Source organism: Homo sapiens, chromosome 21, assembly GCF_000001405.40.
Source record: "Homo sapiens chromosome 21, GRCh38.p14 Primary Assembly".
NCBI lineage: Eukaryota > Metazoa > Chordata > Mammalia > Primates > Hominidae > Homo > Homo sapiens.
The window spans coordinates 18566586-18580456 of NC_000021.9; the positions used below are offsets into that span (position 1 = coordinate 18566586).

Genomic DNA, 13871 nt, shown 5'->3' on the forward strand with positions numbered 1-13871 from the left:
CTAAGATTAGTCCTACAGTCCTCTCAGGCAGTGGGCCATATACCTTTGTGGGGATTTTTTGTGGGGGCTCCTTTGGAAGCAGAGAGACTGCTTGTATAGTACATAAATCTACTGCTACACTGCTGCTTGTGGCGGGGGACAATTGTTGTATTGTGGTAACTGGCTTATTCCTTGAAACACTTGGGACAGTGGGGGTTGTTGTCTTTGAAAACCTTGAGGAACAAATGGCTGAATTGGGAATGCCTTAGTTTGTTGTGGGGCCTGAGGCTGGCCTCTTTGCTTGTTTCCTGACAATGCTTGCCTATTTTTATCAAATTTAGAATGACATTGACTAGCCTAATGTTTTCTTTTTTTACATCTTGGACATAAGTCAGGTGGTTCTCTACTTGTTGTGGTAGTAGCTTGAATAGTTATATTCTGTTTATTTAAGACTGGGCAATTCTTTTTTAAGTGACTAATTTGACTACAATTATAACATTTTCTTCCAAATGTTCTAACTTGTCCTCCTAAAACAACTCCTGTTATTGCTTGAGCCATAAGCATAGCTTTATGCATAGCTCCTCCGATTCCATCACAGGCTTTTACATATTCTGAGATTACATCTGATCCTGCAGGAACTTTTCCTTTTAATGGCTTAATGGCTGATTGACACTCAGGATTGGCGTTTTCATATGCCATCAACTTCACTATGACCTTACGGGCTTTTTCATCGGCAATTGACTTTTGAGCAACATCTTGGAGCCTTGCTACAAAATCAGGGTAGGGCTCTTTCGAACCTTGTCTTACTGTATTAAATGAGGGGCAGGCGCTTCCTAGGTCTTGGATTTTTTCTTAGGCTCTAAGGCAGATAGTTCTAACTTGCTCAATGGCCTCATTTTGCATTAATGCTTGTTGACTAATAGTACTCTAATTTTGACCTGTTCTTAATAGTTGATCTGCATCTATGTTAACTGGAGGATTGGCAGCCTTATTTCTTCGGACCCGTTCTTGTACCTCATCAATCTACTAAGTCTTAAATTGTAAAAATTGAGAGGGTGAGAGAGACGATTTTGCCAGAATCTCCTAATCATAAGGAATGAGTCTATGTCCATGAGCAATGGAATCTAATAATGTCCTCATATAAGGGGAGTTGGGTCCATACTGTTTTACTCCTTCTTTCATATCTTTTAGCATTTTTATCGAAAAAGACTTGTATCTGGCCTCAACTGTGAGAGGCTCTCCCTCTTGGGCTCCTTCTCCAGGTGGCATCGGTTCTAACATTACTGGGAATTGCCATGCCTCAGTATCTCCTTCCTTTCTTGATTTATCAATAATTTCATGTAATTCACTACCTTGTCTACTAGGTGGTGCCGTAGGATTAAGTCTCCTAGTGGGCGGCTGAGGGTATGGCGCCCTGCCCTGTGGTGCTGGGGGCATTCTTGGATATCCATACTGACTTTCTGGGGGTGGCCGATACTGAAGTTCAGCCGGCGGCTAGTATTGATAAGCTACTGGCGGTTGGGTCTTATTTTCTTTAACCTGCGTTTGAGGTTGTAATGTTACAGGCACCTGACTTGCTGGAAGAGGACTTGGCCTTCGTGGTTTAGACTCTGGTGGCCTCACTAATTCGGGACCTTTTCCTTCTAATTTTAACGTTTCAGGATATATCACCTCCTGTAATTGATTATAGTCAACATTTTGCGTTGACTGAGCCATTACTGGCTCTGCTACATATTCGCAATGTAAACTTCCCGTTTCTTTCTGGGATTTTTTCTTTGTCTTTTCATTACAATCTATTAAACAGCTTCTAGGGGCATCAGAAACTGAAACGCTATCTTCTTCTGTTTGAAATGGTTCTAAAGCTGCTTTAATAATGGCCTAATCATTCCATACTGTAAGTGGAATGATATTACTTTTCCTACCTGCTTGTTTTAGTTCCTTACTAATTCTTTTTTAATCTTTTAGATCTAAAGTTCCTTGTTCTGGAAACTATGGGCAAAATTGTTCTATTATTTGAAATAGCTTGATTAGATTTTTTGTAGATACTTTAACTCCCCCTCTTTTTAAAAGAATTTTAATAAAGCTGAGATAAGAGGCATATTTACTTCTAATTTTAGGGGTGGGTTGCCCCTCCACAACTGTGGGTGTTTCTCGTAAGGTGGAACGAGAGACTTAGGAAAGAAAAAGACACAGAGACAAAATATAGAGAAAGAAATAAGGGGACCCGGGGAACCAGCGTTCAGCATATGGAGGATCCCCCCAGCCTCTGAGTTCCCTTAGTATTTATTGATCATTTGTGGGTGTTTCTCGAAGAGGGGGATGTGTCAGGGTCACAAGACAATTGTGGGGAGAGGGTCAGCAGACAAACACGTGAACAAAGGTCTTTGCATCATAGACAATGTAAAGGATTAAGTGCTGTGCTTTTAGATATGCATACACATAAACATCTCAATGCTTTACAAAGCAGTATTGCTGCCCGCAGGTCCCACCTCCAGCCCTAAGGCGGTTTTTCCCTATCTCAGTAGATGGAGCATACAATTGGGTTTTATACCGAGACATTGCATTGCCCAGGGACAGGCAGGAGACAGATGCCTTCCTCTTGTCTCAACTGCAAGAGGCATTCCTTCCTCTTATACTAATCCTCCTCAGCACAGACCCTTTACGGGTGTTGGGCTGGGGGACGGTCAGGTCTTTCCCTTCCCACGAGGCCATATTTCAGACTATCACATGGGGAGAAACCTTGGACAATACCTGGCTTTCCTAGGCAGAGGTCCCTGCGGCCTTCCGCAGTGTTTGTGTCCCTGGGCACTTGAGATTAGGGAGTGGTGATGACTCTTAAGGAGCATGCTGCCTTCAAGCATCTGTTTAACAAAGCACATCTTGCACCGCCCTTAATCCATTCAACTCTGAGTTGACACAGCACATGTTTCAGAGAGCACGGGGTTGGGGGTAAGGTCATAGATTAACAGAATCTCAAGGCAGAAGAATTTCTCCTAGTACATAACAAAATGGAGTCTCCTATGTCTACTTCTTTCTACACAGACACAGTAACAATCTGATCTCTCTTGCTTTTCCCCACACCTGGCAATAAATAACACTCATTTTATAGTATGTTGTTATTAAAGACATTTTACTGAACATGAATTCTTTGCAAGATAATGTTATAATAAGTTAATATTTAATTTTTTTAAATTGGACATTTTATTTTTTAAAAAGACCATGAAAAGTCGTGCTTTTCCACTTACAGGCTGCATGACTTGGGCAAATAATTCAGCTGCTATGATTCTCAGATGTATTCTTTTTACATAATACATATGAGATTTAAAATAAAATATATATCTGAAATACTTAGCAAAGTGCTTGGCATATATTATGCTGTAAATAAGTATTATCTTTTTTGTTGTCTATTTCCCTCTATCAGTCAGAGTCAATTCAGAAAACAAAATCACATCAGTTACTTTACCAATAGAATTTAATGTAAACAATTGTTAACCATGTACAAATTTGTTAATTAGCTTATAAGAAAGTCCAGACTAAAACTATAGGGTATCATGGAGGCAACAATTGAAATAATCTACCATTGTTCCCTATGGCTAGAAGAACAAAAGGAAGATGTTAGAATTACTGAAATTTAGAAGCATGGAGGAGGGGCCCGAGAAAATGAAACACAAACCTTGGAGAAGAGGGTGCTGGTGTGAGTGGTGATGAGGCTGGTAAGGCTGGTATAGTAAATGTTGGAAAAACTGCAACCTGGATTTAGTTGCAACCGCAGGGAGGAACTGCTGCTGCCAGGGTGAAGAAACACTGCTATAGTGGAAGCTGCGGGAGCGAGAGAATGTAAGCAAGCCTAGAGGAAGAAAACAGGAAGGAGGAAGTCACTTCCTCCCCCAGCCTCAGTCTCTCAGTACCACTTTATCCTGGCAGAGTAGAAAGTGGTTTTTCAGATGCTAGTCCTAGCATCACAAAGCAAAGGTGAAGTTAGAGTGGAGAGAGAATAGCTTCATAAATAGCCTACTTTTTCACTCCTCTAACTCCATTCATTTTTACCTCTAATTTTTCCTTCTTACTTTCTATCATTTCTTTTTTCTTCTTTTTGAGGTTTTTTTTTTTCTTAGACGGAATCTTGCTCTGTCGCCCAGGCTGGAGTGCAATGGCGCAGTCTAGGCTCACTGCTACCTCTTCCTACTGGGTTCAAGTGATTCTCCTGCCTCAGCCTCCTGAGTAGCTGGGACTACAGGTACGTGCCACCGCACCTGGCTAATTATTTTTAGTAGAGATGGGGTTTCACCGTGTTGGCCAGGCTGGTCCCAAGCTCCTGACCTCATGATCTGCCCGCCTCGGCCTCCCAAAGTGCTGGGATTACAGGCATGAGCCACCACACCCAGCCCTCTTTTTGCCTTTCTTTATTTTCCTCCTGGCTGGCCTTCCATCCTTCCTTCCTTCCTTTTTTGGCGGACAACAATTCTATGGGCTTGAAAAGACATGTTTTTAAATGTAAGCTATTGTCTTTTATGTAATAAACAGATATCGAAAATTATACATCAGTTCAGGGAATCTATATAATCATTTAAAAAAATCTATGGTGCCAGGCACTTTACATCATCTTAATTCAAATTATTAAATTTTCACAATCACAGGGATAATAGCAGACCTAAGATTTGAACCCAACATTTTCAGCCTCCAATTATGATGTTTAATTTTTTTTTCTATATCACAGATTCCAGTTCATTTGGATAAGTAGAGATGAATAATTCAGTCATCACTGTCATTTGAACTAGGTAGGCCTCAAAAGAATATGAAAATTTTGATACATTGAGAAAGTATATGATACATTATGACCACTGAAAAATTTATAAGCGAATTTGGGATAAGGCAAGACATTCTCCATAAACAATATTCAATAAATCTAATAAACTAAAAAGTTGTAAAATTTCCAATATAAATTTATGTAATTTGGGAGGAATAAATGTTTCTTTTTCTTATTATATATGTACTAAAACTTTTAAGAGAAAATATTTGAAAGTATCATCTTTTACATACAAAAATACAGTTTGGAAGTTAATTAATTGTACTGGGCAATAAAAAAAAATTAAGGTAACTTTCTTAAAAAGTCCACTAACTGTTATGCTGATGGCAATTTCAAAAGCACATCTTATTATCTAATACGAGAAGATTAATACCAACTAATGTATTTCCTGGTAAAGATATAACATGAATTTAGACCTATAAAGATAAAATTATAACTAATCACCAGAGATGAAAAATAATCTTACTTTTTTTTGAAATTACATTTGAAAATTTTAGAAAAATATATGTATTAAAACAAGTTTACTCTGTATGTAACTAAATCATCTAAAATATGCAAACATATTTAAAATGATTAAAGCTGCATTTTGATGATAATTTACAACTATATGTATAACTACACAGAAGTCTTCAAATGAAAGTTAAAATATCCAAAAACTCATGTTTCATTCTATATTTACCTGTCACTAGGGAACCATGATCTTCAGTTGGACTGTTTTTATTTGAGATTAGAGGAGGTTTAGAAAATTAGGAAAATTATAGGTTCCAAATAGAATATACAAATATAGTTGCCAAAGTACAGAGATAGAGAGAGGAGAGAGAGAATGACAGAAAGAGAGAGAGAGAGAGAAGCAGGAAGAGAAGGAGGATGGGAATGGGAAGGAGGAGGAGGAGAAGGAGAAAGGGGAGGAGGAAGTTGGTGGAAGGGGAAGGGGAGGGGAGACAGAAATAGGAAAATCACCTTGATTGTGCTGGATATAGGCAGAAAGGAATATGTCATAAGCATACAAATCTAACCCCTTAGTCTAATTTTTACATTTTAATTATAAATTCCACTTCTACATTTTCTTGTTAACAATTTCCAATAGACAATAAATTTGAATTGTTAGAATTAGGTGTTTCAAATCCAGTTCATTGTCTAATAGAGATTATGTTCAAGTTACTAATGGAAAAAATTATACCTTAATAGACCTCAAGTGTATTATGGACTCAGGTAATTACTACCAAAAACTAAGGTTCTAATGGGCTACTCATCCTTTTTTTAAATTTTTATTTCCATAATTTTGGGGATACAGGTAGTTTTTTGTTACATGGATAAGTTCATTAGTGTTGATTACTGAGATTTTGGTGCACCTGCGATTTTGCTGCACCTGTCACTGGAGTAGTGTACACTATACCTAGTATGTCATCTTTTATTCCTTACTCCCCTTTCACTCTTCTGTCCTGAGTTCCCAAAATTCATTATATCGTTCTTATGCTTTTGCATCCTCATAACTTAGCTCCTACTTATAAGTCAGAACATACAGTATTTGGTTTTCCATTCCTGAGTTACTTTACTTAGAATAATGGCTTCCTGCTTCATCCAAGTTGCTGCAAAAGACACTATTTCATTCCTTTTTATGACAGAGTAGTATTCCATAAGGTGAATATACCACATTTTTTTACCCACTCATTGGTTGATAGGCACTTAGATTGATTCCACGTCTTTGCAATTGTGAATTGTGCTGCTATCAACATGTGTGTGCATGTGTATTTTTCATGTAATGAATTCTTTTTCTTTGGGTAGATACTCAGTAGTGAGAAAAAAATCAACAAAGTAAACAGATAACCCACAGATCGGGAGAAAATATTTGCAAACTATGCATCCAACAAAGGGCTAATAGCCAGAATCTACAAGCGACTCAAACAAATCAGCAAGAAAAAAATTAAATAGGATGTTGGCTGTGGGTTTGTCATACATGGCTTCGAGGTTTATTTTATTACTTTCAGGTAAATTCCTTCTGTTCCTATTTTGTTGAGGGTTTTTATCATAAAATGATGCTGGATTTTATCTAATGCCTTTGTTGTGTTTATTGAGATAATCATATGGTTTTTGTTTCTGTTTATGTGATGTTTTACATTTATTGACTTGCATATGTTAAACCATCCCTGCATCCCAGATCTGAAACCCACTTGATCATGTTGTGTTATCTTTTAGATACACTGTTGGATTCGGTTAGCTAGTATTTCGTTGAGGACTTTTGCATCTGTGTTCATCAAGCATATTGCTCTGTAGTTTTCTTTTCTCTATTATGTCCTTTCCCGGTTTTCTATCATGGTGGTACTGGCTTTAACAAATGATTTAGGGAGAATTTTCTCTTTCTCTTTTTTTTGTTTTGTTTTGTTTTTGTTTTTCTTTTAATAGTTTCTGTAGAATTCGTACCAATTCTTCTTTGAATGTCTGGTATAATTCAGCTGTGAATCCACCTGGTTCTGGACATTTATTTTTGTTGGGAATTTTTTAAATTACTGATTCAATCTCACTGTTTGTTACTGGTTTGTTCGAGATTTCTATTTCTTCTTGATTTAATCTAAGAGGGTTGTATACGGCCAGAAATTTATCCAATTCCTTTAGATTTTCTAGTTTGTGTATGTAAAGATTTTCATAGTAGCACTGAATGATCTTTTGTATTTTTGTGGCATTGTAACATCTCCATTTTCGTTTAACATTGAGCTTTTTAAATCTTCTCTCTTCTTTACATGGTTAATCTCACTATTAGTCTATCAATTTTGTTTATCTTATCAAAGAACCACCTTTTGTTTCATTTAGCTTTTGTATATATTTTTTTCAATTTCATTTAGTTCTGCTCTGATCTCTGTCATTTCTTTTCTTCTGCTGGTTTGGGTTTCGGTTTGTTCTTGTTTCTCCAGTTCCCTGAGGTGTGACATTAGGTTGTCTATTTGTGCTCTTTCAGACTTTTCGATGTAGGAATCTAATGCTATGAACTTTCCTCTTAGCATCACTTTTGCTGTATGCCAGAGGTTTTGATGAGTTTTGTCATTAATATCATTCAATTCAAATAATTTTTTAAAATTTCCATCCTGATTTCATTGTTAATCCCAAAATTTTTCAAGAGCCGACTATTTAATTTCCATGTATTTGTATAATTTTGAAGATTCCTTTTGGTGTTAATTTCCAGTTTTATTCCACTGTAGTCTGAGAAGATACTTGATATGATTTTGATTTTCATAAATTTATTGAGATTTGTTTTGTGGCCTGGCATCTAGTAGAGCTTGGAGAATGTTCCATGCACTGATGAGAAGAATGTCTCCTCTGCAGTTGTTGTGAAGAACGTTTGGTAAATATCTGTTAAGTTCATTTGTCCAGGGTATAGTTTAAGTTCACTGTTTCTTTGTTGATTTTGTGTCTTGATGATCTGTCTAGTGCTGTTAGCAGAGTATTGAAGTCCCCCATTATTATTGTGTTGCTATCTGTCTCATTTCTTAGGTCTAATAGTAATTGTTTATATATTTGGCAGCTCCTGTATTAGGTGCACATAAATTTAGGATTATAATATCTTCTTGTTGTGCTAATCCTTTTATCATGATTTGATGCCCTTCTTTGTCTTTTTTGTTTTAACTATTGTTGCTTTATAGTCTGTTTTGTTTGATATATGAATAGCTACTCCTTCTCGCTTTTGGTTTTCACTTGTGTAAAATATATTTTTCTACCCCTTAGACTTAAGTTTATGTGAGTCCTTATGTGTTAGGTGAGTCTCTTGAAGACAGCAGATATTTTGTTGTCAGTTTTTAATTCAATTTGTCATTCTGTATCTTTTTTTTTTTTTTCTTAAAATGGAGTCTCACTCTGTCACCCAGGCTGGAGTGCAGTGTGCTATCTCAGCTCACTGCAACCTCCGCCTCCCGGGTTCAAGCAATTCTCCTGCCTCAGCCTCCCGAGTAGCTGGGATTACAGACATGTGCCACCACGCCTGGCTAATTCTTTTGAGTTTTTAGTAGAGACTGGGCTTCACTGTGTTAGCCAGGATAGTCTCGATCTCCTAACCTCGTGATCCGCCCACCTCGGCATCCCAAAGTGCTGGGATTACAGGTGTGAGCCCCTGCACCCAGCCAATTCTGTATCTTTTTAGTGCAGCATTTAGGCCGCTTACATTCAATGTTAATATTGAGATGTGAGATATTGTTCTATTCATCATGTTAGTTGTTGCCTAGATACTTTCTTTTTATCATTCTGTTACTGTTTTATAGGCCTTGTGAGTTTTATGCTTTAAGGAGATTCTATTTTGGCATGTACCGAGCTTTTGTTTCAAGATTTAGAACTCCTTTTAACATTTCTTATAGTTCTGGTTTGGTAGTGGAAAATTCCCTTAGCATTTGATTCTCTGAAAACACAAGCAAAACCAAGTTTGTCATTCATTTATGAAGCTTGGTTTTTCTAGATATAAAATTACTGACTGACAGTTATTTTGTTTGTGGTGGCTAAAGATAGGACCCCAATTCCTTCTGGCTTGTAAGGTTTCTGCTAATAAATCTGTTGTTAGTCTGATAGGTTTTCCTTTATAGGTTACCTGATGCTTTTGTCTCACAGCTCTGAAGATTCTTTACTTCATCTTGACTTCAGATAGCTTGACGACTATGTGCCTTGGTGATAATCTCTTTGCAATGAATTTCCCAGGAGTTCTTTGTGCTTCTGGTATTTGGATGTCTAGATCTCTAGCAAGGCCAAGGAAGTTTTTCTCCATTATTCCCTCAAATTGGTTTTCCAAATTTTCAGACTTCACTTCTCTCTCAGGAACACCAATTATTTTTAGGTTTGGCTGTTTTATGTATTCCTTTATTTCTTGGAGACTTTGTTTATTTTATTATTTCTTTTTTCTTTGCCTTTGACTGATTGGGTTAATAAAAGCCTTGTGTTTAAGTTCTGAAATACTTTCTTCTACTTGTTCTAGTCTATTGTTGAAATTTTCCACTGCATTTTTTTTTTTCTTAAGTGTGTATTTCATTTCCAGAAATTCCTATTACTTTTTTCTTTATGATATCTATTTCTCTGGAGAAAAATTTATTCATATCCTGAATTTTTTTCTTAATTTCTTTAAGTTGCTTTTCACTTTTCTACAGTATCTCCTTGAGTAGCTTAATAATTAACTTTCTGAATTCTTTGGCATTTCAGAGATTTCTTCTTGATTTGAATCCATTGCTGGGGGGCTAGTGTGATCTTTTGGAGGTGTTATAGAGCTCTGTTTTGTCATATTACCAGACTTAACATTCTGGTTCTTTCTTATTTGGGTAGACTATTTCTTCACATTGTTCTTGAATTTATTTTTGATTGGACTTTTTTTTATTGCTTTTTTTCCCCTCTGAAGGATCTGACTTTAGTGTTTGTAGTTTATTTTAGCCTAATTTGATTCTTGGTGCTTTTAGGGTTGAAGACTCAGTATGAGTTCCTTAGTTATAGAGCATCTTTGTACACTGGGTTTCCCAGATCCTAGTTGTAGTAGTTGTATACTTGGTGTGTGAGAAGGTTCACTGTATCCTATGGGATTGGAATCACAGGGATCTCTTGAAGCTTATCTTGTTCTCTTGTGGTGTACACTTTATTTATTTATTTATTTTATTTTTCCCAAGTAGTTTATTTACTCAGTTGATGATTCAGGCTCCAAGCCAATAGGGGAGGTATTTCTGGGTAGGCATCAGTTGTAGCTAAAGCAGGTGGGTAAATGTAATAACCAATGTTGGGCAGAGGTCTTAGCCTTGATGAAGGTGACTCCTGGAGCTCTTAATTAGATGGCTTTATCAGGGTGAAGGATGGGAGCTACGTCAGCTCCCATGCCAGACCAGCAGGAAAGCTATCCACCTCACAGCCTCACTCTTGTCCCAGTAGTCTGACTATTCAGATCACACAGGAACTTCTTTTCATCTGTAGGAATGTGAATGTTCCAAATAGGGAGGAATTGTTACTCTCAATTTTGATATTGCCTTCCTTTCTGGATATGGAATGTATATACGCATATGAAAGCTTCAAATGTTTTTAATTTATGATTATCATATTGTTACTAAATGACCATAGAACAGTAAATTGCACAATTAAAATGAATTTTAGCCAGTTTGTGTGACAAAGAAGGAGGAGGTAATAAAGAATCAAGTGAAATGCGTTCAAAACTGTTTTACCTCTCTGCACCAAAGCATTGACCTAGAATCACATTCTAAAGAAGATCTTTCTAATCAACTTCTCTAGAAATAAACAAAAACAACTTCATTGAATTCTCAACACAAGAATCCCTGCCTCACAAGGGAACCTGTACCAATTGCAGCATGTCTGAACTCAGTGATAGAGTGGGATGTTTGGCTAGCACCAATGTGGAGTTACAGAATTCTCCTGCCCATTTTCTTTCTTAGTACTCCTCTCTCTACACTGAGATCCATAAACTTCTGTTCTGGATGTCCCAGCTTGGTTTACTATTCTCTTTATCAAACTTTATTACCATTTTATAAATTCTTCAGTCACCATTACAATAATATCATATACTTTATTTGCCAAGGGACATATAAACCATGCATGCATGTCAGGTTTACTCTTGATATTATGTTGGTGCAAAAGTAATGGTATTTTTGCCATTCGTGTAGTTGGTGTGTGAGAAGGTTCACTGTATCCTATGGGAATGGAATCGCACGGATCTCTTGAAGCTTATCTTGTTCTCTTATGGTGTACACTTTATTTATTTATTTATTTATTTTATTTTTCCATTTTTGCCATTACTTTTGCACCAACCTAATAGTTTAGCTATCAATGTACTGCAGTCAGTACTCACCTCTTTTCCTTTGGCCACACCAGAGGTTACCTACATCTTTGGGGGACAGCTACTACACATGCTAATAACTTTCTACGTCATGAAAATTTGTCTTTTCCTGAGGGCTTTCTCTAGCTACAAGAGCAAGATCAACTTGTGCCCAGGATACAGTGGAAGTGCCACAATGTAGGAATTTAGTGTATTATACTTTAGCTTCCTGTACCTTCAGACTGACAGTTGAGGTGTGTTCTACACAGTCTCTCAGAGAGTCTCTAGCAGGGTTGAGCTCAATTTGTCCCCAGCATTAATGTCCTATTTATTGGATTTCCTTCTTTATTATCCCCACTCTTTTGAGGTACTTCTTGGGATCACTTCCCAAATACACTCTTTTAGAATCTTAAAAGTGGCAGAATATTTATCATTTTATAGGCCCATGTCTTCAATATCTAGACTACAAGTCTCTTAGAACCAAAATATGAAAGGAACAGCCAATCTCACCATCACTCCCAGTGAGTCACTTGAATAGTTAGTGTGTTTCTCTCTGCAACCAGAGGCATATTTGGATTTAAGGCTCTGGTTCTTGAAAGAATATGGTGGTTCTATAAGAGAACATTGTAAGATTTCCATTTAGCATATAACAGTGGCTGCCTGTAAGAGATTTAGACAATAATTACTATTATCATGTCTGGAATTTTTATATTAATTATTACAGAGAGCTAGAGGCACTATTATACAATGAAAATAGGAAAAGAGTATGTTGATCACTCAAGGCATTCACCTGGGTGCCTAATGATGTCTCCATGCCCAATAATAACATTAAGCAGGAAATTACAGCAACCAGGACCTGGCAAGGGCATGGTAACTAAGGACTCATTTAATTCTTTTGCACTCTGTTGAAGGTCTATGTTATCTGACTAGGCTTGCAGTCTAGACCAGCACATGTGTTGCCCAAATATGAAGGGACCTTAAAAGAAGTGGTAGAAGAAAGAGGTAATAAATATCAGTTTTATCACGAGATTAACTGTACCACATTCAACTTCAGTTTGACTAATTCTTTTGTTATAGTTCTTATCTTCTTAAGAATCATAGCTGTCTATCATATTGGTGAATCAGTGAAGGGCAGAGTGGATTGAATGTTGGCCATGAGATCTAAATGATACAAGGTGTAGACTTCAGGTGATACACTTAATGCTTCACTGAAATCTCCTTAGCCCACTACAGAGAATAATGGCAACTTTGGGGAAGTCCTCCTATATGCCAGTGGTTTTCTACTGTGTATTTCTATATCTCTGTCGCGCAGCTTTCTCTGTCTGTATGATCAAGATCAATCTGCCTGCAGGACAGTTTGGAAGTGCCAAGGGCTTAATGATTGCAGTAGCAAACCTCAACCAATGAGGATGAATGTGAGTGAATAAAAACCACACTTACCTGTCCCTCAGGACCATAGTTCTGAGATATTTTCCACATAGGTTCTCACTGGCATTGAACCCGAGTGATCTGCAGTGGTTCCTGGCTCAGTAATATACCTTTTGTTGCTGATCCTCCTTTACCTGTCTCCTAGTCTCTCACCAGGCTTCCATATTACTTACAAAATAAACTCTTAGCAAAAGACTATTTGCTGTACGAACTACATTTTGGGAAATACAATTTCAGACACCATCATCATACAACTAATTCTTGGACTATTTTTCTACTAAAAATTTAACTTATAGCAATATGTGGTTTTGAATAAATTGTATTTTCTATAATGAAAGTAATATGTCTACAATTTAAAGATCTAAGTACTTAATGAATAAAGAAAAACCACCCATGAATGACAACAGAGTGAGTATCAGGGCCAGAAATGAAAAGAGGTCAAATCATTAAAATCATGTACTGACATGAACAAGAATCTTGATAAAGAAAATGAGCATTTTAAATTAACCCAGAAATGGAAACTTTCCAAAAAATGTCTCCCTTTACAGGCATTGAAAAGACTTTGAGGTCACACTGCCAACTTTACATGAAGAGGAGATGTTCTTTGAATTATATTTTCAATGAATTTGTAACATTTACATTGTGTATGAAGATAGTTCTCTGCAGTGAACGTAAAAGTCCGTTTGCTATAAGTAGAAAGGAAAACTTTTTCCCAGGGAGACCAGGGTCACAAATTAAATTATTTGGCTTTTGCTCCTGGTATGTCTGCTTTTATCACTTGACCCTTGCTGATACGCTCAGCTCTGCCCGCAGTACAGGATCAAACATGCTTCTCATCTGGACAAATTTAGAAAACCTTAATACACTTGCACAGGATGGTCA

The 13871-nt window shown here is 37.0% G+C and overlaps 1 long non-coding RNA gene across 1 annotated transcript in view, besides 2 other annotated features; it reads right to left on the bottom strand.

Annotated features, from left to right (window-relative positions):
• Nucleotides 1-13871, bottom strand: part of MIR548XHG (MIR548X host gene) — a 198548-nt gene that overhangs the window by 5321 nt on the left and 179356 nt on the right. The window lies entirely within an intron of this gene.
• Nucleotides 1692-2411: an enhancer, noted in NCBI's record as "OCT4-NANOG-H3K27ac hESC enhancer chr21:19940595-19941314 (GRCh37/hg19 assembly coordinates)". NCBI's record gives its function as "activates a minimal SCP1, AML or CMV promoter by ChIP-STARR-seq in naive H9 embryonic stem cells {active_cell/tissue: H9 hESC(naive)}" and the evidence as "EXISTENCE:reporter gene assay evidence [ECO:0000049][PMID:30033119]".
• Nucleotides 2412-3129: an enhancer, noted in NCBI's record as "OCT4-NANOG-H3K27ac hESC enhancer chr21:19941315-19942032 (GRCh37/hg19 assembly coordinates)". NCBI's record gives its function as "activates a minimal SCP1, AML or CMV promoter by ChIP-STARR-seq in naive H9 embryonic stem cells {active_cell/tissue: H9 hESC(naive)}" and the evidence as "EXISTENCE:reporter gene assay evidence [ECO:0000049][PMID:30033119]".